The 23,190-nt window shown below is 42.0% G+C and overlaps 1 pseudogene across 1 annotated transcript, besides 3 other annotated features; it reads left to right on the top strand.

Moving 5' to 3' along the window:
* Positions 1-684: 684 nt before the first annotated feature.
* CTSL3P (cathepsin L family member 3, pseudogene) lies at positions 685-14,654 on the top strand (annotated as a pseudogene). Its single transcript, NR_027917.1, has 5 exons — positions 685-768; positions 869-1,015; positions 1,221-1,414; positions 8,905-8,998; positions 14,517-14,654. The product of NR_027917.1 is annotated as a cathepsin L family member 3, pseudogene (transcript).
* Positions 20,059-21,258: an enhancer, noted in NCBI's record as "P300/CBP strongly-dependent group 1 enhancer chr9:90407204-90408403 (GRCh37/hg19 assembly coordinates)". NCBI's record gives its function as "activates an origin of replication core promoter dependent on BRD2, BRD4, P300/CBP, MED14 and CDK7 cofactors, with strong dependence on P300/CBP, by STARR-seq in HCT116 cells {active_cell/tissue: HCT116}" and the evidence as "EXISTENCE:reporter gene assay evidence [ECO:0000049][PMID:35650434]".
* Positions 20,507-21,016: a transcriptional cis regulatory region, noted in NCBI's record as "candidate enhancer chr9.1075 targeted for multiplex CRISPR interference". NCBI's record gives its function as "positively regulates CTSL gene expression with high confidence in K562 cells {active_cell/tissue: K562}" and the evidence as "EXISTENCE:mutant phenotype evidence [ECO:0000015][PMID:30612741]".
* Positions 21,184-21,478: an enhancer, noted in NCBI's record as "tiled region #3109; HepG2 Activating DNase matched - State 8:EnhW". NCBI's record gives its function as "activates a minimal TATA promoter and a strong SV40 promoter by Sharpr-MPRA in HepG2 cells {active_cell/tissue: HepG2}" and the evidence as "EXISTENCE:reporter gene assay evidence [ECO:0000049][PMID:27701403]".

A 23,190-nucleotide genomic window follows, 5' to 3' on the forward strand; every position in this document is an offset into this window, starting at 1 on the left:
TGCTTTTCATTTTGGTGAGTCCATCCAATACCTCCACTTGCCCTGTTTTCCTCCAACCAGATCCTTGGCCTCTTTCACCGTCCTTAGGTAAATGCATGGGAAAATAATTTAAATATTTTTATTCTACTATGGTGGCCAAAGTTTCTCAGGTAGCAGTAAGATGGCTTTTTAGGATTGGTCTAATCAGATCCTCATTTCTTTTCCCTTCCTAGGTTTTGAAACATGAATCCTTCACTCCTCCTTGCTGTCTTTTGCCTGAGATTAGCCTCAGCTAGTCTAACACTTGATCACAGTTTAGATCAGTGGAAGGCAAAGCACAAGAGATTATATGGCATGGTTGGTGGCACCTGAAACCATCCAGAGGGATTCCTGGGAGAATGGTCCTTGGTGTTTGGAGATTATAGCCAAAGAGTAGCTACTAGAGGCCAGCTCTTACCAATAACCTAATGCAATAACCTAATGGCACCAATTATGAGTACGATGTGGGCATAGGCTCCTGTTGTTTCTTGACTTGGAGAACATCTCCCAGAGGCGTCAAGCCTTCTCTGGCCATGGTTTCTTTTTCACTTTTGTCTGCAGATTCACTCGGTGAGCATGGGTTGGGTTTTAGTTAGAAATAAAGAGCATCAATTACATATTTGCCTCTAGAATGAAGAAGGATGGAGGAGAGCAGTGTGGCAGAACATGAAGATGATTGAGCAGCACAATCAGGAATACAGGGAAGGGAAACACAGCTTCACAATGGCCATGAACGCCTTTGGAGAAATGGTGAGTGTGCTGTGGACTGCCGAGCTCTGTGCTTCCTCTCCTCGGTTCTTTATTAAAGTAATCTCTTGCTTTTCAACATTTTATTTCCTTTTCCTTGAAGACCAGTGAAGAATTCAGGCAGGTGGTGAATGGCTTTCAAAACCAGAAGCACAGGAAGGGGAAAGTGCTCCAGGAACCTCTGCTTCATGACATCCGCAAATCTGTGGATTGGAGAGAGAAAGGCTACGTGACTCCTGTGAAGGATCAGGTAAGACAGTGTCAGATTCAGACCTCCCATCTCCCCAGGAAAGCCAAGAGGTGATCGACCTCTTTGCTTTAGTGGAGTGTAGAACAACTTGCAGTTCATAGTATTCAGAAAGATGAGCTGTTGTCAAAGTTTTGCTATTTGCTTTGTGAATGACAGCTTTTTTATTCTTTTATCATGGTAAGTGTGCATCTTCTTATGCTTTTAGTGCAGCTGGGGCTCTGTAAGGACAGATGTTAGGAAAACTGAGAAACTAGTTTCACTGAGTGTGCAGACCTGGTGGACTGCTCTAGGCTTCAAGGCAATGTTGGCTGCATTTTTGGAGAACCATTATTTTGCTTCCAGTATGTTGCCGACAATGGAGGCCTGGACTCTGAGGAATCCTTTTCATATGAAGAAAAGGTAAGTGGAGCTCTTTATCTTGCTGTCATTCCAGCTCTGCTTTTGGGAAGTGGAACGCTTTCAGAGGTAACACACAGTTTTTTCAGAACTCACATTTTAGATGGTAGAATCTATATCTGCAAACTGTCAGTGCTGTCATTATAAATTATTAGCCTTTGCACAGTTCTATGATTATGTGGTTAACATACAGCTGTTCTTGCTATATGTTAGCAAGAACATATAAGATAGAGAATATCCAAACATAGTAACATTGAGAATATACAAACTATTTTACATATAATACACATTTCTCCACTGTGAAAAATTTCTTGTGGCTAGTAAGCCTAAGGGTCTCATTCAAGAGACTTGAGCTAATGTTTAGTTTCAAGTCAACAAATAGCATTTCATTTCCTGGGAAATCCTAAGTTGCAAACTACTGAGCATTGTGGTTCTAACTCATGTTGTCCAGGAGGAGGATGGTGGTAATCAAGTCTCTTCCCCCTTTACTTTTAAAAGGAAAAAGCCTGTAGGTACAATCCCAAGTATTCTGCTACTAATGACACTGGGTACATGCAAATACTCCCTGTGGAAGAGAAGGCCCTAATGAAGGCTGTGGCAACTGTGGGGCGCATCTCTGCTGTTGTTTATGGACTTCTTGATTCCTTCTGGTCCTATAAAAAAAGAAGGTAAGAGTTTTTCTTTGTAGACATTGAGGAAGAAAAATTGAAAACCACCATGATACACAAGCAGGATGGACTATTTGGTACAAAAAATTCAATGTAAATATTTGGGTTCGTAGATTTCACATAGTTTATTTTATACATGTAATCTTTCTTTCTTTCTTTCTTTCTTTCTTTCTTTCTTTCTTTCTTTCTTTCTTTCTTTCTTTCTTTCTTCCTTCCTTCCTTTCTTTCTTTTTTGAGATGAAGTCTCGCTCTTGTCTCCCAGGCTGGAGTGCAATGGCGCAATCTCAGCTCATTGCAACCTCCGCCTCCTGGGTTCAAGCAATTCTCCTGCCTCAGCTTCCTGAGTAGCTGGGATTACAGGCCCCTGCCACCACGCCCGGCTAATTTTTGTGTTTTTAGTAGAGATGGGGTTTCACCATATTAGCCAGGCTGGTCTTGAACTCCCTACCTCAGGTGATCTGCCCGCCTCAGCCTCCCAAAGTGCTGGGATTATAAGCATGAGCCACCACACCCGGCCTACATGCAATATTTCTACCTGATGTTTCCATACAATGCATAACTATTTATTTATTTATTTATTATTTTTTGAGACGGAATCTTGCTCTGTCACCCAGGCTGGAGTGCAATGGCATGATGTCAGCTCACTGCAACCTCCATCTCCTGGGTTCAAGTGATTCTCCTGTCTCAGCCTCCCAAGTAGCTGAAATCACAGGTGCACACCACCACACCTGGCTAATTTTTGTATTTTTAGTAGACATGGGGTTTTGCCATGTTGGCCAGGCTGGTCTCGAACTCCTGACCTCAGGTGATCCTCCTGCCTCGGCCTCCCAAAGTGCTTGGATTACAGGTGTGAGCTACTGCACCAAGCCATAAATAACAATTCATAAAGCGTTATGAAGTATTTATATTCATGGGCACATAACCCCATGAATGCAAGTAATTCATAACGCTTTATGAATTGTTATTTATTATATAGCTTAATTTACTTAAGTTCTCTCCAATTGTTGGATATTTCAAATTGTTCCAAAGATTTATTTACCTCTGTTACTAAATCTGAAAAGAGCCCTTGATTCAAAGATTTCAGTGTTCTGTACCTTAGACATACTAGAGTGAAGTAACAAGCTTTCCAAGAGTGGTCTTTTATGCTTCTGGGCAAGTTTTTACAAAAGGATTTATGCTCATTTGTATTTCTGCTAGCTTTAGATGGGAGCCTAAATCCCATCTAGGTATTATTCATCTTAAAGATGTTTTGGAAGATTAGCGTGCCCCGGTATCACTGAAACACCCTTGTTGGGATAATATTGTAAGATATGTCACTGAAGATTTTAGATAGAGTGGTCAGGAAACACAAGAAAGTAAAAGGGCATGTGACAAGTGGAGGGGGGTGCAGGGCGGGGCTGGTCACCTGAAGTCTTAAAGCAGAGATGGACAGATTAGGGACACAGGGCCATAAACATGACCTGGAGCCATGTCAACACGCTGCCTGTGGTGAGCACTCTTCTATGCTTTGATGTAGGATTAAGGAACTTCTATACTTCTATGCTCTTCTCAGCCAAACCAGTTCCCATGATCATTGCTTACTCTCTTGTTTCTGTGTGTTGAGCTCTATATATGTGGGGACACACTGAAATAGGTCAATGGTGGGCATAATTTCTGGCTAAAATGTAAGCTTGCCAACTGGTGGCCCATCTGGGAAACTTTTGTTCTTCCCCTTCTTCTCCTGCATATTCTCAGAAACATAATAAGCACATCAAAAATCACTTTCTTGGACTGACCATTGTTGTGACGCCCTGGTAAACTGTGCGTAGAACAGTCATGAGTGAACATTTGCCCTCAAACTCCAGTCTCTATGTCCTCACCTGTTCATAATTTGATGAAAAAGCCATTGATTTGTTATACAAATGCAGACTCCATAAATGTTTACCAGATAGAACAATTAACCTACCAGCTCTCTGGTTTATAACCAATAATGTCTCCCATTCCCTCCACCTTGTCCAAGAGCACTAAGCCTGCCACTGAGGTGGCTTGGTTTCCTCCATTAGTGCTTCCAATGAGTAACTTGCTCGTGGCTGTTTTCAAGGATTCTTAGAGGACCTTACCCTTCATCCTTCCAGCAGTTTTATCTGTTGCTTCTCAATAATTTTTTAGGTAAAAAAACAAATACAACAAGTAATCATTATTCAAAACAAAAATATAGATAAATAAGAAAAACGGGGAGAAAACCCCCAAAGACTCACCCAAAATCTCACTGTACCTGTTTTTGTCCACCTGAAACCAGTGGTCAACTGGGAACACACTGCTCACTTACGTGTCAAGCATCGCATTTGCCTTGTCGTGTATTATGGCATTTGATCATCAGAATAACCCTCATCCCCATTTTACAGATGAGTACAGTGAGGTTAGAGAGGTTACGGAGCTTGCCCAAGGGCACAGGGCTAGTCAGTGAGGAAGCCAGGATTTGGTCTCAGGAGGTGGAACTCCAACAAAAGGGAATGCAGTGCTGCAGGGGTGTATGGGACCCTGGTACTGAGGGCTGACAGTCATTAGGAGAATTGCAGGAGGACCACAGGGAACAGTTTATGCTAAACCTGACCTTCTCCACAGTTCACAGGATCAGCAACCAAGACACCACACCCCTCCCAAGGCCCCAGTCAGGAGGTCATTCCCCAACACACAGTTCCCAACTCTCATGTCCTGCTTCCATTCAAAACTTCCTCAAAAGCACTTTCTGTTTTCTGTGACTCTCCATTGAGTTTTACCCAATGAATGAGAGCCCCTTTAAATGATTAGGCCCAAAAAGGCATTTAAAACGTAACAGCAGTCATGTCCCACTCCCCTTGAGCCAAATAATTATCTCTGGAAGACACTTGCTCTGCAGGCTCTAGATTAACTGATGCCAAGTAGCCATAAAATGCCACACGATCTATAGTTCCACAATGTGTAGCCAGTCACTAACCAACATTACTTCTGTAAACCAATGAGAATTCCTGACGAACAACTTTTATAATTGCTCCCTCTCCTGATTAAACCTTTTGTTTTTCTTTAAAAACTTAGACCTCCCTTTTGTTCCCTTGAGCACTCCCCAAAGAAACTTGGAAGTGTGTCCCTGGCTGGAGTCCTCAACCTTTCTTTAACTAGATTCTGGCTTTTTGATTATTTCGGATTGGTAGGAACCACCACCCGCCCCTTTCTCTAGCAGAAGATTTCCCCACATCTGAGTTATTTCACGTGGAGCAGGTGCTGGAGCAGGTGGGGTGGAAGGGAGAGGAGAGTATCAGATTCTGACCCCGGCCCTATGCCTACAGACCTGTGGTGTATATAATGCAAGGGGAGTGATGCATTTTTTAAAATCTTTTTTGTATTCTCTTTACAGGGACCTTTCCCCTCTATAGCGAGGGGTATTGTTTTCTCACAGACTATGGATTTTAACAACAGGAATGCAAAGAAAAAGAAAGAATTGGTGTTCAGCATTAGACCTCCCAAACAGAATTTCTGACTTAACAATGGTCCAGTAAGTGAAGATTGAAAAGAGAGGAAAAGGTTTTCTAAATTGCAGGACCCAATCTAAAAAGCTACTGTATGAACCTAGAGCAGTGGTCCCCAACCTTTTTGGCACCAGGGACTGGTTTTGTGGAAGACATTTTTTCCACAGACTGGGGGGATGGTTTCAGGATGAAACTGTTCCACCTCAGATCATCAGGCATTACTGAGATTCTCCTAAAGAGCACAAAACCTAGATCCCTCCAATGCACAGTTCACAATAGGGTTCATGCTCCTATGAGAATCTAATGCTGCAGCTGCTCTGACAGGAGATGGAGCTAAGGCGGTCATGCTTGCTTGTCTGCCACTCACCTCCTGCTGCATGGCCCAGTTCCTAACAGACCATGGAACAGTACAGGTCCACAGCCCAGGGGTTGGGGACGTTTGACCTAGAGGACAATGTCGTCAAGGAATTAATTGTCAATGACTTGGTGGAGTTGGAGGAAGAAAGAAGTGTCTTCCACCATCACCTGTAAAATGGGGCATAAAAGAGCCCTCATCTCCTAGGGCAGTGGTTCTCAAAGGTGGTTCTCTGACCAGTAGCACCTGTACTATTTGGGAACTTGTTAGAAAAGCAGATTATGCAACCCTGTCTCAGACCTACTGAGTGAAAAACTCACAGAATGGGCCCTGCAATCTGAGTCTTCAGGAGCCTCTGTGTGATTCTGATGCATGCTGAAGTTTGAGAACCACTGCCATAGGTTTGTTGTAAAGATGACATGAAGAGCACATGTGAAATGCTCAAAACAGTGCCTGTACCTAGGAGTTATTTAGCTATTCCTATCATCACCATCATCACCATCATGGCAGAGAACTTTTCTAGTAATGCTTTAATTTCCAGGAGTTGCAGGAACTCACAAAGGGAGATGCCCTTCCTCTGCAGCAACCCCGAGGGCAGGTGCATCTGCAAGCTGAGCCTCTCACAGCACAGAAGCTTCTGTCTTCACCACTCACCAAACTGACACAGAGACTGATTTTCACCTAATGTGTATTTTTTAAAAAAATACAGTCATTTGTCACTTAACAACAGGGAAATGTTCTAAGAAATGCATCATCAGGCCATCTCACTGTTGTGTGACTATCATAGAGTGAACTTACACACATCTAGATGGTAGAGCCTTCTACACATCCACACTAGGTGGTAGAGCCTTCTACACATTCAGGCTAGATGGTAGGCCACAAGCCTGTACAGCATGTGACTGTACTGAAGACTATAGGCAATTGCAACACAATACTGTGCATTTATGTTTTTAGACATACGTAGACATAGAAAAGGTACAATAAAACACAGTCTAAAAGATAAACAATGATGTACCTGTATTGGGCACTTGCCATGAATGGAACTTGCAGGACTGGAAGATGCCTTGGGTAAGTCAGTGAGTGAGTGACTTTGAAGTAAATGTGCAGGCCTAGGACATTACTGTACATTACTGTAGACTATATACTGTATACCTAGGTGCCGTGACCAGCTTGGCTGGGGGACCTTAACCGAGTGGCGCTAGAGGAATTAAAGACACACACACAGAAATAGAGAGGTGTGAAGTGGGAAATCAGGGGTCTCACAGCCTTCAGAGCTGAGAGCCCCGAACAGAGATCGACCCACGTATTTATTAACAGTAAGCCAGTCATTAGCATTGTTTCTACAGACATTAAACTAACTAAAAGTATCCCTTATGGGAAACAAAGGGATGGGCCGAATTAAAGGAATCGATTGGGCTAGTTAACTGCCGCAGGAGCGTGTCCTTAACGCACAGATCGCTCATGCTATTGTTTGTGGCTTAAGAATGCCTTTAAGCAGTTTTCCGCCCCGGGCGGGCCAGGTGTTCCTTGCCCTCATTCCGGTAAACCCACAACCTTCCAGTGTGGGCGTTATGGCCATCATGAACATGTCACAGTGCTGCAGAGATTTTGTTTATGGCCAGATTTTGGGGGGCCTGCTCTCAACACTTAGGCTACACTTAAATTATAAAAAATATTTTTGGTCAGACATGGTGGCTCATACCTGTAATCCCAGCACTTTGGGAGGCCAAGTCGGGCGGATTGCCTGAGGTCAGAAGTTTGTGACCAGTCTGGCCAATGTGGTGAAACTCTGTCTCTACTGAAAATACAAAAAAAATTAGCTGGGCGTGGTGGCATGCCTTTGTAATCCCAGCTACTCGGGAGGCTGAGACACAGGAATTGCTTGAACCAGGTTGGTGGAGGTTGCAGTGAGCTGAGATTGCACCACTGCACTCCAGCCTGGGTGACAGAGTGAGACTGCATCTCAAAAAAAAAAATTTTTTTTTTCTTTAATAATAAATTAATCTTAACTTTCTGTCACTTTTTTCTATTATCTACTTCTAAATTTTTAAAAGTTTTTGACTCTTGTAATAACATTTAACTTAATATGCAAAGACACTGCACAGACATACAAAAATTGTTCTCTTTATATTCTTATTCTATTATAGTTTTTCTATTGTTACAATTTTTAATTTTTATTTCTACTTTTTAAATTTTTTTTAAAAACTGAGACACAAATGCACATTAGCCTGGGCCTATACAGGGTTAGGGTCATCACTATTACCATCTTCTACCTGCACATCTTACTGAACTGGAAGGGCTTCAAGGGCAGTAACACACAGGGAGCTGTCATCTCCTGTGATAATAATGCCTTCTTCTGGAATCCCTCCTGAAGGAACCGCCTCAGGTGGTTTTATATCTAAAATTTTCTTTTTACAGGCAGGAGTACACCCTAAAGTAAGAATAAAAAGTCTAGTATAGTAAATACATAATCCAACAGCATAGTTGTGCATTATCATTATCAAGTATTATATAGTGTATGCAATTGTATGTGCTAGACTTTTATATGACTGGCAGCACAGTAGGTTTGTTACACCAGCATCACCACAAATATGTAAGCAGCACTAAACGTTTCCACAGATATGATGCCAGTAGGTGATAGGCAGTTTTTAGCTTCATTATAATCTTATGTGACCACCATTGGCCATGATATATGTGGTCTGTCCTTGACTGACATGTCATTATGCAGTGCATGCCTGTATATAGCATTCTTTTGTTGAGATATACTTTGCATAACGTAGAACTCATCATCTCAAAATATTTGGTGGTTTTTAATGTATTCATTGTCTTATGCAACTATTACCACTATCTAACACCAGAACATTTTCATCACCCCAAAAATAAGTCCTGTATTTATTAATCAGTGTCTTAGTCTGTTTTCTGTTGCTTACGGCAGAATGTCTAACACCGGGTCATTCCTAACGAAACAAAATTTATTTCTTACAGCTCTGGAGACTGGAAAGTCCAAGGTCACAGAGGTGCATCTGGTGAGAGCCTTCTTGCTAGTGGGGAATCTCAGCAGAGTCCTGAGGTGGCACAGGTCATCACATGGTGAAGGGACTGAGTGTGCTAAGATGGTAGCTCAGGTCTTTCTCTTCTTATTAAAATACCAGTTTCATTCCCATGATAACCCATTAATCTATTAACCCATGAATGGATTAATCCATTCTTGAGGACAGAGCCCTCATGATCCTATCATCCCTTATATGGCCCATCTCTCAATGCTGCCATATGGGGGATTAAGTTTCAACAGGAATTTAGGAGAAAAAATTCAAACTATAGCCCACAGTTAGTTCTAATTCCCTCTACCTTCATTTGCATAATCCACTCTGCTTCTATAGATTTCTCTATTCTGGGCCTTTCATGTGAATGGAATCATAAAATATGTGATCTTTTGTGTCTGGCTGCTTTTATTTAGCATAACGTTTTCAGGGCTTGTTCATATTATAGCACGCATCAGTACTTCATTCCTTTTTATGACTGAAAATACTGCAGAGCATGAATACACTGTATATATTCCATTGCATGAATATTAATCCGTTCATCAATTGATGAACATTTGATTGCTTTCACTTTTCTGGCTATTATGAATAATGTGCTAGGAACACCTGTGCACACATTTTTGCATTAACATATGCTTATCAATTTCTTGGGTATAGTCACAGGAGGGGAATTGGTATGTCTGAACATTCATTTCTATTTTACTTCTTTGGCTTTTCTTTTGGATTGTAGAGGAAGTGAAAATTATTTATGCTTTGTTTCTAATTTGTTATTTTGATTGAGATGGATGAGAGAGTGGAAAATAATATTTTACTGGAAATACTAAGCTTTGATAACCAAAATTACAGAATATTTGAAAGCTTCTATTTTAAAACCTTTCTACATTACAGTCCTGTCTGCATTAAAAGATTCAGTGGAAAAATGAGAAACCAATAGAAGCAACATCAGTATACTTTGATCCAATATACTACCCAACTTATATTGACTTTGGAATGTAGATAATTTCATCCTCATCTTTGGTAAGCATAAAATTTGGTGAATGACATACCCTACAATAAAATGTAAATAATTCCAGTAGTCTCATAAGGTTGTGTTAAGAATTAATTGAGATAATATGAGTATTAATATACCAGCCATTCCATAAATCCTCTCTCAGAAATGGACATATCCTTGAGAAATGACATTAAATCCAAAGGCACACAAATACTGCAATAAATGCTGTTGACATTGAGATACTGTATATTGACCATGTTTATTGTTTGACCATTTCTTCTCATCTAGAATCCTACTGTAATGCACTAGAGAAGTGTTTAACTTGATTCAGGGAAACACCCTCAAACATCATAAACCAAAAGAGCTGATTCCTTCTCATTTGGGAAGGTCGCCTGCCAGGTTTCTTCCATTTCTTAACTTCATTGTCCTCAAAAGCTTTCTCATCTGGGAATTCCATATGGAACCACGAATGGATTTGAAGTCTTGCAAGAAGGGTAATAGAATTGTCAAATATTCTCCCAATTCCACTAGAGAAGAGAGGGTAGGGGTGAGGCAGAGGGTCTTGATCAGTTTAGGCCTGATTCATTTGACACTGGCCTAGGAGACCAGGCTTTGAATGATTAAGTTTTGCCCTAACCTCCAGCCCTTAGCCAGAGCTGTGGAACTGGGTATTGACCCCATTTCCTCCTTTGCAGTCTCCACTCTGTTCCACCCAGGAATGGGGGATGAAATGTTGGGGTGAAAAGGGCAGGGAATTTGTGATCGTGGTAGCACCATGGCTGGATTCAGGCAACAGTGTTTTTTCATTCATTCATTCTGAAAAATTTTATTGAGTCTCTTTAAGTCAGGTCTTGTGCTGAGGAATCAATGATGAACCAACACTGAGACATTCCCTGTGCTGGAGAAGCCTGAATGTGTAGAAGGCTCTACCATCTAGATTTGTGTAAGTTCACTCTATGATAGTCACACAACAATGAGATGGCCTAATGATGCATTTCTCAAATTGGGCGGTAGATGGGAATCAATTTCCCCTTTGAATGACGTATAAACTTTGCACCTCCTTTCCTCCTCATTGAACTAATGTTCTGGGCAGTTTTTTCATTTATGGGTCCCTGAGTAGTGAGGTTTCTCTGTAGCCATTCCATCCCCCTAGTAGAGGGAATCTGAGAAAGTGTGGCTACTTCCTCTTCTCCAGATTTCATAAGAAAAAAGAAGTCTTGAAAGGCTTTACATAAAAGTTCACACATTGTCTCAAAAGACATTTGACCAGGGCTACCTGGTTCCCTTTCATCATCAATGGAACGTGCCCCACTGACGCAGGGGTTTCTGTCCTAATCAGGAGGGCCCACCATCTGTCACCTGGCTCTGCTCTAGCTCACCCTGTGGTAACCTGGTATCTGGTCTCCATTTCCAAGGAGTCACATCACCGCACTGTGGAACTGCAGGCCCCAGCACAATGAGTCCTGATGCAGATCTCCAAATCAAGGGCTGATGTTCCCACTCAGGGAGAACAGGTCACCACAAGAATGGTGCAGCTCTTAGAAGTCTGTAGCTTTTGAAGTGTCAACTCAAACACTATCACCACTCTAGTGTTCTTTCTCAGGAAGCACAACATCCATGTTAACAGAATGAGTGAAGAATCCATCTTCTGTCTGCCATCAAAAGTTATAGCAAAATGTCTAGGATCATAAGTGGTATCAAGGAATATAAACTCTTCTATTTTACTTATTCACTTGTATTTTTTGAGCTATGGTTTTGCTCTTTCATTCAAGCTGGAATGCAGTGGTGCAACCATGCCTCACCACAGCCTCAAACTCCTGGCCTCATGTGATCTTCCCGCCTTGGCCTCCCAAAGTGCTAGGATTACAGGAGTGAGCTACCGCAAAACTCTTCTATTTTAGATCTAATACTATACCATGGACATCTTTCTTTGTCAATACATTTAGAGTTTTCCATTGTTGACCCTATCATAATTCATTTAACAATCTCCTTTTCTCTTCTTGATGAGTATTTCAACTTTTTTATGTTTCATTTACAAATAATACTGTACTTTATATCTTTGCATGTGTATCTTTATAGAGATGTGCAAATAGTACTATAAAACTAATTTTTTGAAATACATCTACTTGCTGAAAAAATGTGATTTCATTGTGTGCTCCTACCTGTAGTGAATTAGCATGTGCATTTCTTCACAACTTACTGATTAACTCATTTTATAGGCAAAATGTGATGGAATTTGCTGCTGTAATTTCCATGTCCTTCGCAGGGAGAGTTCTAATTTCAACTTTATTATTATCATTAATTCAAGATATTATTTCTTAACAATGTTAATCATCATTGTGATCATTACCACAAATAATAGATGCTAGCAATAGTCAACCTGCATTAAGAAGCCACATCCCATGCACTTTCCACACAGACTTGATTTGATTCCATTCACTCCTCACAACAACCACGTGAAGAAAGAATCACGAAGCAATTGTATAATTGAAACACAAAAGGAAAGTTACTTGTGTGCCCTTGGTCAAGTAATTTGAACAGTCTGTGCTTCTGATCTTCCCATAGAAAAATATAAATAATAATATATTCATTATCTACTACATGCGGATATGTCAGAAATTAAAGAACTGTATATCTGCAAGGCATTTTATGCCACCTATGCATTGTTCATTGATTATATAGTGTGTCTCATGTTTCAGCGTGCTGGGAAGGATGGATTATAAGACAAAGACTGAGAAAATGCAGAATTTGGTGCAGGGTTTGATGGGGGCCAGCCCCTCCACACTTGTGGGTGTTTCTCGTCAGTTGGGATGAGAGACTGAGAAAAGAAATAAGACACAGAAACAAAGTATAGAGAAAGAAAAGTGGGCCCAACGGACTGGCGCTCAGCATGTGGAGGACCCACGCCAGCACTGGTCTCTGAGTTCCCTCAGTATTTATTGATCACTATCTCTACCATCTCGGAGAGGGGGATGTGGCAGGACTATAGGGTAATGGTGGGGAGAGGGTCAGCAGGAAAACATGTGAGCAAAGATCTCTGTGTTACAAATAAGTCTAAGGAAAGGTGCTGTGCCTTGATGTGCACATAGGCCAGGTTTATGTTTGACTTTACACAGACATCTCGGTGCATTAAGGAGCAGTATTGCCGCCAGCATGTCTCCCCTCCAGCCATAAGGCGGTTTTCTCCTATCTTAGTAAATAGAATGTACGATCGGGTTTTACACCGAGACATTCTATCCCCAGGGACGGGCAGGACACAGATGCCTTCCTCTTATCTCAACTGCAAAGAGGCCTTCCTCTTTCACTAATCCTCCTCAGCACAGACCCTTTACAGGTGTCGGGCTGGGGGATGGTCAGGTCTTTCCCTTCCCACGAGGCCATATCTCAGGCTATCACATGGGGAGAAACCTTGGACAACACCTGGCTTTCCTGGGCAGAGGTCCCTGTGGTCTTCTGCAGTGTATTGTGTCCCTGGGTACTCAAAATTAGAGAATGGCAATGACTTTTCCCAAGCATACTGCCTTCAAACACATTTTTAACAAAGCACATCCTGCAGAGCCCTAAATCCATTAAACCTTAAGTCAACACAGCACATGTCTCTGCAATCACAAGGTTGGGGCTAGGGTTACAGATTAAACAGCATCTCAAGGCAGAAGAATTTCTCTTAGCACAGAACAAAATGGAGTTTCTTATATCTACTTCTTTCTACATAGACACAGTAACAGTCTGATCTCTCTTTCTTTTCCCAACAGGGTTTCCAGTGGAAAAGACATCTTGTTTCCTAAACAACAATTGGCCACACACTGGAGACACATAACCTGCCTATGAACTGGAGAATCCTATTGAAATCTTAGAGGAAGTTTGAGATTTTCCTCAGATAGGTGTTTACTATTCAAGTTGGCACGAATAGGTTTTGTTAAAACCCATTTTCTTTCTATTCTGCCTCTATCTGGTACAAGATAGAACTAAAGAGGATATAAAGCAGCAAGGTACAATTTGAAATCAAATGGCAACAATGGAAGATAATGGTCTTGGTTCAACCCAATGCCCACCTGAAATCACTTTTATTAAGGACGACCAACTGGAACAAAATTGTATATTAGTCTTCTCATGATAATTTCAAGTGTGTTTTGATTTGAGAATTTCTTTATGAAAGTCTTCAAAAATCCCACCTCTTAATCCATGGAATTTTCCCTGGAGTCTGAAAATTCCCCAAATCTTTGGAGACTTGATGGTTATTCACTGGTCAAGGGCTCTATAAAAGTGTTCTGGGGAGGTTGACTCAGTGGTCAACAGAGGCCCTTCCAAATCTTCAGTCTGATTCTGGGATCCCCAAGGAGACCTGGAGCCTTTCTCAACATCTTTTGATTGGAAAGAGCATGTGCTTCATCCTCTGTTGCAACAGAAATAGCCATTGTGAAACTCTTTGGTGAGGTGCAATGAGTTTATTCAACCACGTGTGGGCTGGATAGGCTCAGATTTACAGGTATGTTTGAGCTCTGTTTCATACTCAAATGTACACATCCAACAGATGACTGGATCAATTGTACTCTTCATCTTCCTAGTATTCTGGGAAGCATCAAGTGCAGTGTCATCTTATCGAGGAGGCTCTGCAGATGCTAAGTGGTGGGGATGAGGATCACGATGAAGACAAATGGCCCCATGACATGAGGAATCATCTGGCTGGAGAGGCCCAGGTGTAGCAGTTATGGGATGTTACTTCACCAAACAGGTGATGTTTCACACCTCAGAGCAACACAGAACGTTTTGACTGTCAGTGCCTAGTCACTATTTACAATCAGAGCCAAAAAGGCTTCTCTGAAGAGGAAGAAACTTTTGGAAAACATTGCCCCTGTAGGCAGACACTTCATGTAAGAGACACAGCTGCTTGCCTTGGTTGAGGCTGCTACCAAAACTGCTACCACAACTCCCACCCAGTTGGTAATCAAAGCAACAGAGAGATGGAGCCAGAGCCTGAATCAGATCATAAAACAACCAAACTCATTCACAAGAGTCTTAGCTCTTCAATGGTATTGTTCCCACCTCCTGCGGAAAGGTCTGGACATTTTAACATAAATTGGCTGTGGAGTTAACAAGAATGCAGGTTAGCTTTTCCTTGATTAATAAGACATTGCTGACATTTGACTACTTTTGACCTTCGAAATAGCCATTTCAAGTCATTCAATGTAATACTAGGTTTAAGTTTCATTTTACTCCAAATGTATCTATATGCACATAGATAAATACTAAAATAAAGATAAGCAAATTCCTAATATTTGCTTCCTGGAAAACTCATCATTACTCTTTTATTACCTTCCATTTTCAGTCTAGGTGAGGAGAAAATAAGCACTTTATGAGCTTTCTAAAAATTAAGATTCATTTTGAAAGTTTAAAATTAACATAACAAGAAACAAGAAAAAAATTAGTTAAAAATTAGAATTTTGTACATAAGGGATTTTTTTTCTATAGAAGCCAAAATCTGACATTTACATATATTTCTCTGGACAACCAGACTCTACTGTTTCAGATCGGCGTGTAGCTGGTGGCCAACTCTGCTCCATGGATAGGTGTACCGTTGTGACCACTTTTTGGAATGTGATTTTTTTTTTTCGGTAAGGAGTGTACCTTTCAGTTAGCAAGGGTACACTCACTGCCTCTCCAGACTCCCGTCAGCATTCATGGGCACTTTCTTGCAGGCCCCTCCGCCCCAGCATTTCCATTTTCCACCTCTGTCCTAGATGACACTGATGTCTCATGGCTCCTCCTGTGATGTGATGAAATCTTCTGAGTCAAGGACTGAGGAGGGGAAGCCACGCCCCCTCCATGGAGTCCAGCTATGGCCCCTCTTTGTTCTCAGATGTGAGCATCAAGAGAGGCACACCAGGAGCAGAAGCTGAGCCCTCTTAGGGCCCATGAGATGCAAGGCAAATCAAGATCTCTTTCTATCTCAAATCATTGACTTTTTCAAAAGTGTAGAAGTTGCTGATATTTAGAGTTTGTGAGAGTGTGCAGGAATGAGTCCTCTTGTTTACTGTTATAAAGGGATGTGATATTCTTGTCTTTGGACTTGGAATTGTTCATTATTTTTAAGGGAAACATTCCCAGCCCCAGCAAATCCATTTTCATCTCATAAAAATAGTCATAGAAGTATAAATATTAAATGTCACATATTCACAGATTTTTAAATAAATCCAGGTGTTTATCAATAGGGAAAATTTAATTATGATTCCATCGGTATAAACATGGAAATGTATCCTTCATATGCCACTGAGAGCAAAAAGCAAATTCCAGAACAATGTACATAGTATGATCCCATTAAAAGTCAAAATAGAATAAAATAACTATGTCTATGTATTTTAATAGGTGAACATAGGTTTATATACAGAGAAAGCCTAGAGGCATATGTATTAAAATAGTAACCATTATCTTTGCAATGGGAAGGAATGGGAACAGTGTTGGAAACACTGATTTTTACTTTATGTTTTATTTTGTGAATCAGTTTTTTTATTTTGGCAAAAATTTTTTATAATAGAAAATAAAGTCACATAATTTAAATCCCTATCTCCAAAATACAAGAAGGTGGACAGTAAAAACTTTTTATGCACTTCAGTCCCCAGCCCACCCGTACAACATGTATTGTTAGTTTCTTTTTATTATTTGTGTGTGTGTGTGTGAGATGGAGTCTTGCTCTTGCTGCCCAGGTTGGAGTGCAATGGAGTGATCTCGGCTCACTGCAACCTCCGCCTTCAGGGCTCAAGTGATTCTCCTGCCTCGGCCTCTTGAGTAGCTGGGATTATAGGTGCCTGCCACCACGCCTGGCTAATTTTTTGTATTTTTAGTACAGACAGGGTTTCACCATGTTGGCCAGGTTGGTCTCAAACTTCTGACCTCAGATGCTCCGCCCGCCTTGGCCTCCCAAATTGCTGGGATCTATTGTTAGCTTCCTGGTGTCCTTCTAGAATTTATTTATGCACCTGAGAACAAACACATATATGCCTTCGTATTCTCTCTTTTTCTTTTCCACAAAAAGTAAAACATTATTTGCTGGTTGACATTTTATTTTTTCCTTCATATTTGTTACTTTTTTATTGTTTGGAAAATTTTTTTTTACAATGCTCTATATTTCTTTAAAATTAAAATAAATGAGAAGTGTTGGACCTTAGGTGGGAAAGAGTTGCAACTGTATAGGGAGAGGCTACTCCACTTTCACAAAGATGATGGGGCCACATCAAGCAGTTGGGAAGCTAAGCAATGTTTCAAAAGTTGAAACAAAAATAGTTATTCAAGCTGAGAACGGCATATCAGTGGATAATGAATTTGCCCTCTGTGTATTGATTTTGCTTTACTTAGAAACATCATTCCCCACCTCTAGGCAGCGGGTCTTGCCTCCTCTTCCTGAAACACCTCTGTCAAAGCCCTCCTGTGCTCCCTCTTCACATCTGCCCTTAATCATTGCAGGCACCCAGAGCACAGGGACAGGGCCGGGGAGGATGTGGCAGAGGCAGCACTGGGAGAGACCAGCCATTCCATGGTTTCCAGCTTTGGGGTCTTGGGCAGGTTGCACACCTCCCCTTAGCCTGTTTCATTACTCAGGAAATGGGCATAACAATTCTACTTTCCTCACAGGATCGTTGTGAAGATTAAATGAGATATGTAAACATTTGCATGTAGTAGGGCTAACCTATTTTTTTTGAGACGGAGTCTCGCTCTGTCCCCCAGGCTGGAGTGCAGTGGTGCGATCTCTGCTCACTGCAACCTCCGCCTCGCAGGTTCAAGTGATTCTCCTGCCTCAGCCTCCCAAGTAGCTGGGACTACAGGCACCCACCACCACACCCAGCTAATTTTTGTATTTTTAGTAGAGATGGGTTTCACCATGTTGCCCAGGATGGTCTCGATCTCCTGACCTCGTGATCCACCTGCCTTGGCCTCCCAAAGTGCTGGGATTACAGTCGTGAGCCACCGTGCCCAGCCAGTAGGGCTAATCTTATACCCCTTTATTATGGGGTCAAAGATAGAATCTTTCCAGAGGTGTTGGTTATTTAAGAAAATATTTATTCAAGGATTTGATGCACAGGTAATCTCACTTATTTCTTTCTTCCCATGAGCCAGGTTACCAAATTGGTGAAATTAATTATAATGTTATTGTGGTGGGTAAGCATATATGTTAAAAGCGAAGATACAGTTCCTTATATTATTGAATTATGCTCCCAAACTTATCAAATTAGGTATACATGTCTTGAGACTGTTTCAATAGGACCTAAAATATAACCCATTGTATTTTGTGTTTGACCTATAATAATAGGGATATAGGGAATGCAAATTACTACACATATAATGGAAAAATAGTGTGGAGATTCCTCAAAAAATAGAACTACTGAATAATGCAGAGGTCCCAGAACGGGTTCTATCTTCAAAGGAATGAAAACCAGTACATGGAAGAGCTATCTTCACTCCCAGGTTCACTGCAGCCCTCTTCACAATAGCCAGGATACAGAGTCAACTTTAGTGTTCATGAACAGATGAACGGATGAAGAAAAGGTGACGTATATACACCATGGAATACTATTAAGACTTAAAAAAGAAGAAAATCCTGTCATTTGCGTGAAATGGATGGACCTGGAGGAGATTGTGTTAAGTGAAACATGTCAGGCACAGAGAGACAAATAGTGCATGATCGACCTTATATGTGAAATCTAAAAAAGCTGAACTCATAGAAGTAGAGAGTAGGATGGTGTTTGCATGGGACTTGTGAGTGGGTCGTTAAGAAGGTATTGGTCAAAAGATGTGAAATTTAAGATAGACAGGAGGAATTTAAAAAACAGATAAGAGAGGCCACACAGTCATCATTCAGTAAAGAATGTTGAGGTCATTTTGTAAAAAGGTCACACCTCATTGGAGGTATTGATAGGACTCTCTCTGGCAGAAGCAGTCCTCCACAGGAACAATAACATGGTATTTGTAAGGTTTGACCTTCTCACGCCAGTGGTGCTTTGGGAGCTGCAGCACCTGCTCAGGATCCTGGGTGGTGGCTGGAAATGATATCCTAAAGAAATGATTTCCTCAAAGGGAAATGAGCTCCTGTTTTCCAGAGTGAAAGTTCCTCCCTGGACACTGGGATCTGCAGCAGCTTTGAGTGACTAAATGTCTTTCTAGAAGCCTTTGACTCACTGGGTACCGTGGAGTAGGGAGTGCCTGCAGGATGTAGGGCCTCTCCAACATCATCCCAGAATCAGCCTGTGTTTCCTGGGCTTATTCCCAAGTAGGTGAGGGAGGCCAGGTGGGGATGGGTGCAGGTTCTCAGGGCTTCCTTCCAGTGTGAGAATCAGGGCACAACTTCTTGACCTCTCTAAGCTCCAGTTTTCTTATTCTGTGAAGAGGAATGAGAAGAAACTGGTTGGCTTATAAAACCTGCTGATGCTACACTCACAGGGTCTCAGCAAATAGACAAAGATGTAAAGATGTGTGGTGCCTGATGCTCCCTTGAGGTGGATGAAGAGCAGGGAACCACACGGTGCTGATGTCTGCCTATAACTGAGCCATGCTTCCCTCATGGATGCAAATCTCTGCAGGGCTGGGAGGACAAACAACATTCTCTTATGAGTGTTATTTTTAAGGCCCAAAGAGAAGGCTGATTCAGCCTCAAGAGTAAGGTTGGCTACCCTCCTCCATCTGACAGGATACAAGTTGAGGGCAGTTGAAATGATTCTGAATAACAGTGGGGTGAGTCTCCTTCACTATTTGCTTCCCTCCTCTGAAAAATTTCTTCCTAACATGCTCAGTACTCACTTCCTGACGACTGGTACCTACATTTGCCTTGGTCCTAGCTTTTCAGATTGCAGAATCCAGATATGTTCTTTGGAACAGTTCATATCTTCTACAGGTCTGAGGCTTCACTGAGTCCTAGACAATTTCCTTAAAGGAAATTGTGAGAAAAACTATTGAGATGGCTCTTCCTTCCCAAACATAAAGACAGAGAGAGAGAGAGAGAGAGAAAGTTGCTGCTTTGCTCAACAGCATCTGCTTGGTGAAGAGCCTCAAGATCTGACTCGGGCCTCCCAGCTCTTAGGAACCCATTCTCCACTGGCAGGGGTGGCGTGTTTACCCTGTTTTTCATGGAGGAATTGGACCACAAACATTTGGGGATGTTAGGTTGAGAGCTGGAAAACCCCAAGCCTCTGGCTCAAAAACCCAGAGCTTGCTAGGAGCACTTGCAGGATACGCCCGTGTCCTGTCACCTGCCTAAAGAAGCCTTTCGGGCCGGGCACAGTGGCTCACGCCTGTAATCTCAGCACTTTGGAAGGCTGAGGTAGGTGGATCACCTGAGGTCAGGAGTTCGAGACCAGCTTGGCCAACCTGGTGAAACCCCATCTCTACTAAAAATACAAAAATTAGCTGGTACGGTGGTGGGCACCTGTAATACCAGCTGCTCGGGAGGCTGAGGCAGGAGAATTGCTTGAACCCAGGAGGCAGAGGTTGCAGTGAGCCAAGATCACACCATTGCACTCCAGGCTGGGCAACAGAGTGAGACTCTGTCTCAAAAAAAAAAAAAAAGAAAAGAAAAGAAAAGAAAAAAGACCTTTGGGTGCTTGTCAGCTTCTTGGAAGTGAAGCCAGACCATTTCCTTGCTCAAGCCAAAGAGCTCATTGACTCAAGGAGCATCATAGCAACTGGGCTGCATCTAAAAGGGAAGAATCAAGGGCGTGATCCACAACCAAGGCCTGAGGAAGCAGGGCCCATAGTTGACCTGCACAGTATGAGTCATGACCCATGTGCTGGGGCTCTAGCCATGGGCGGTGCCTCTTGCCATTTCCAGCTTCCTCCTGCAGAGGGTGGGTGTTAACGGTCTTCATTGCTCATAACCTTCTCAAAGGCACGAGTTTCGGTTTCTGCCTTCCCTGAATCAAGTCTTCTACATTGCAGTTGCTGTAACAAAAACTATTAGCAACAACACAGCACTACAGAAGCAAGCTCCTTGCTAACAGTGATTGCTGATGACATTGTCTTCTAGAGACCACTCTAGTGGCTCGGCAGCCTTGGTATAGAGCTGATGATAAAAACTTTTCCTGCTTTTGCCAGTCATGAGGAGCATTTCTTTGTCTAGATAAGGGAACTGAAACCCACTGGCCAGCCAGAATATACTCAAAGCAGTCATTGGGATACGAATCCCACCATCATCTCCCATGTTATCCCTTTTGTTACCTTTAAATATGGTCCCATTTACTCAGGACCAATATTCCCTTATGTGGAGAGCAGGACTAGTGCCCTTGAGTTACTTACGGTGACTCATCTTTGAGTGGGGAATGTGTTAGTATTTTCAGCAAATGTTAAGTGTGATGAAACATTTGCTGAACTGTCTCCCCGTTTCGAAATAAGCTAACAGCACTCAGGGGCTCTATTTACAGCAATTGGGTGGAGTCAGGAGTGGGAACGCATCTTGCACTGTCACCTTGATTGACAATAGCTCTGACCTGTGGAGGATGGTCAAGTCCTGTCTCCTATAACGTGGGGCAGTGATGGGTCAGGGTCATGGCTCCTGCATTTGGGTGAGGCCTTCTCATCACTTTTAGACAAGCAAGTTCAGGGTGACCGCAGGCCTCCCCACTTCCATCAGTATCCTCCCAACTCCCCCTGACCTCTCTCACGAAGCTCCCCACCAATTCAGAGATCCAGTCCTGAGGGGCTAAAAGAAACATTCATTAACCTGTCTAGAGAGTCATGAATAATTCATGAATTACATTGAATTCATCCCTAGTATAACTATCTTCAGAAATTCAGACTTGGTAACCCGGTAGCCCCCTTCCTCAATGTCTTTCCAAGGCCCCAGGTGATCTCTCTGTTCCATACATAATGCTTTACACAGCAAAGTGCTTCTGGGGGTGGGAGCCCGCTGACCTTCCCTGGAATCCTGACTGCAGGTTCTGTTTAGAACATGGGGTCTCATTTTGAGAAGCTCTTGGTATTTATCATTCACAAGAAGTTCACAGGCTCCAGAAAACACAGGACAGCATTCAGGGAAAGAGAAGTGGTAGAGACGGAGACACCTGGTCAGTGTGGCCAGAGCATCCTGGGGGAAATGCACTGAAGGACAGCAGGGCAAATGCACGTGGGTGGCTGGGGAGAGGAGCAGTGCAGATGGCAAAGACACTGTCCAGACAACCTCCCAACTCAAGAGAAGGGACTGAATCTAAGAGGAGAAGAGGAGGGATGAGACAAGATGCTGAGGGTGCCACAAAGTCAGAAATCATTTGAAGTCAATGAAAGTCAGACACCTATAGATGTGACTGTGGTTTGCTGATAGAAGAAACAATGCTGGCCATATGTATTAAATACATGGATATTACGGGAAAGAAAACATCTTTTGAGGCTAGACTTAATTTTCCTTCTATCTGAACAAGGGTTTGCTTATGATTTATACTTTACTTACATTTTTCAGCTTTGTAATAAGTTGAGCTGGTTGATATAGTGTGCAAGATATTTACAAAAACAACAGAAAAAGAATAAAGTCCTTAAAAAGTCTCAACATGAATTGTTTCTGCAGGGCAACTAGGAATTTCCACTCCTGTACCAGAGAGCCACAGATTTGTCTGGACTCCTTAGGGGCCACAAGGACACTGGCTCTGATAATTCAATGGACTACGAAACAAAACAGTGGCTTGCAGTGCCACCATTATGCTTCCAGTCCTTAGGTTTTCAGGGGAGATAGTATTCATTTATTCTACAAATATTTATTTAGGATGTATGTGATGTCAGGCAAGTTATAAGCACCATGGTTGACAGGCAGAGACAGACAATAATCAAATGAACAAATAAAGAGTAATTAAGACTGCTGATTTTGGAATTAAATAGTTCTGAGAATAAATTATGGTTCAGATTCTTCACAGGCATGTAACTTTGAGCAAGTCTCTAAAACTTATGGAGCCAACATTTCCTCACTTGTAAAAGGGGAATTAAACTGCCTACCTCTGTGGGTATTTTGAAGATTAAAGAGATAAGTGTGGTTACCAAAAAAAAACTCCAGAATAGAGCTACTATTATTCTTCTTAAAGGTGTTTTGGAATCTAATAGTGCCCCTATCTCATGGAAACACCACTGTTGGGTCTTGCCTTAAGACATACCACTGAAGATTTTAGGCAGAATTGTCAGAAAACACAGGAAAGTAACAGGGCGTGTGATAAGCTCTTGAGACCTGGGAGGTCTTAGAACAGAGACGGACAGATAGGGACACGAGGCTGTAAACAT

This window comes from Homo sapiens, chromosome 9 (genome assembly GCF_000001405.40).
Source record: "Homo sapiens chromosome 9, GRCh38.p14 Primary Assembly".
NCBI classification, from domain to species: domain Eukaryota; kingdom Metazoa; phylum Chordata; class Mammalia; order Primates; family Hominidae; genus Homo; species Homo sapiens.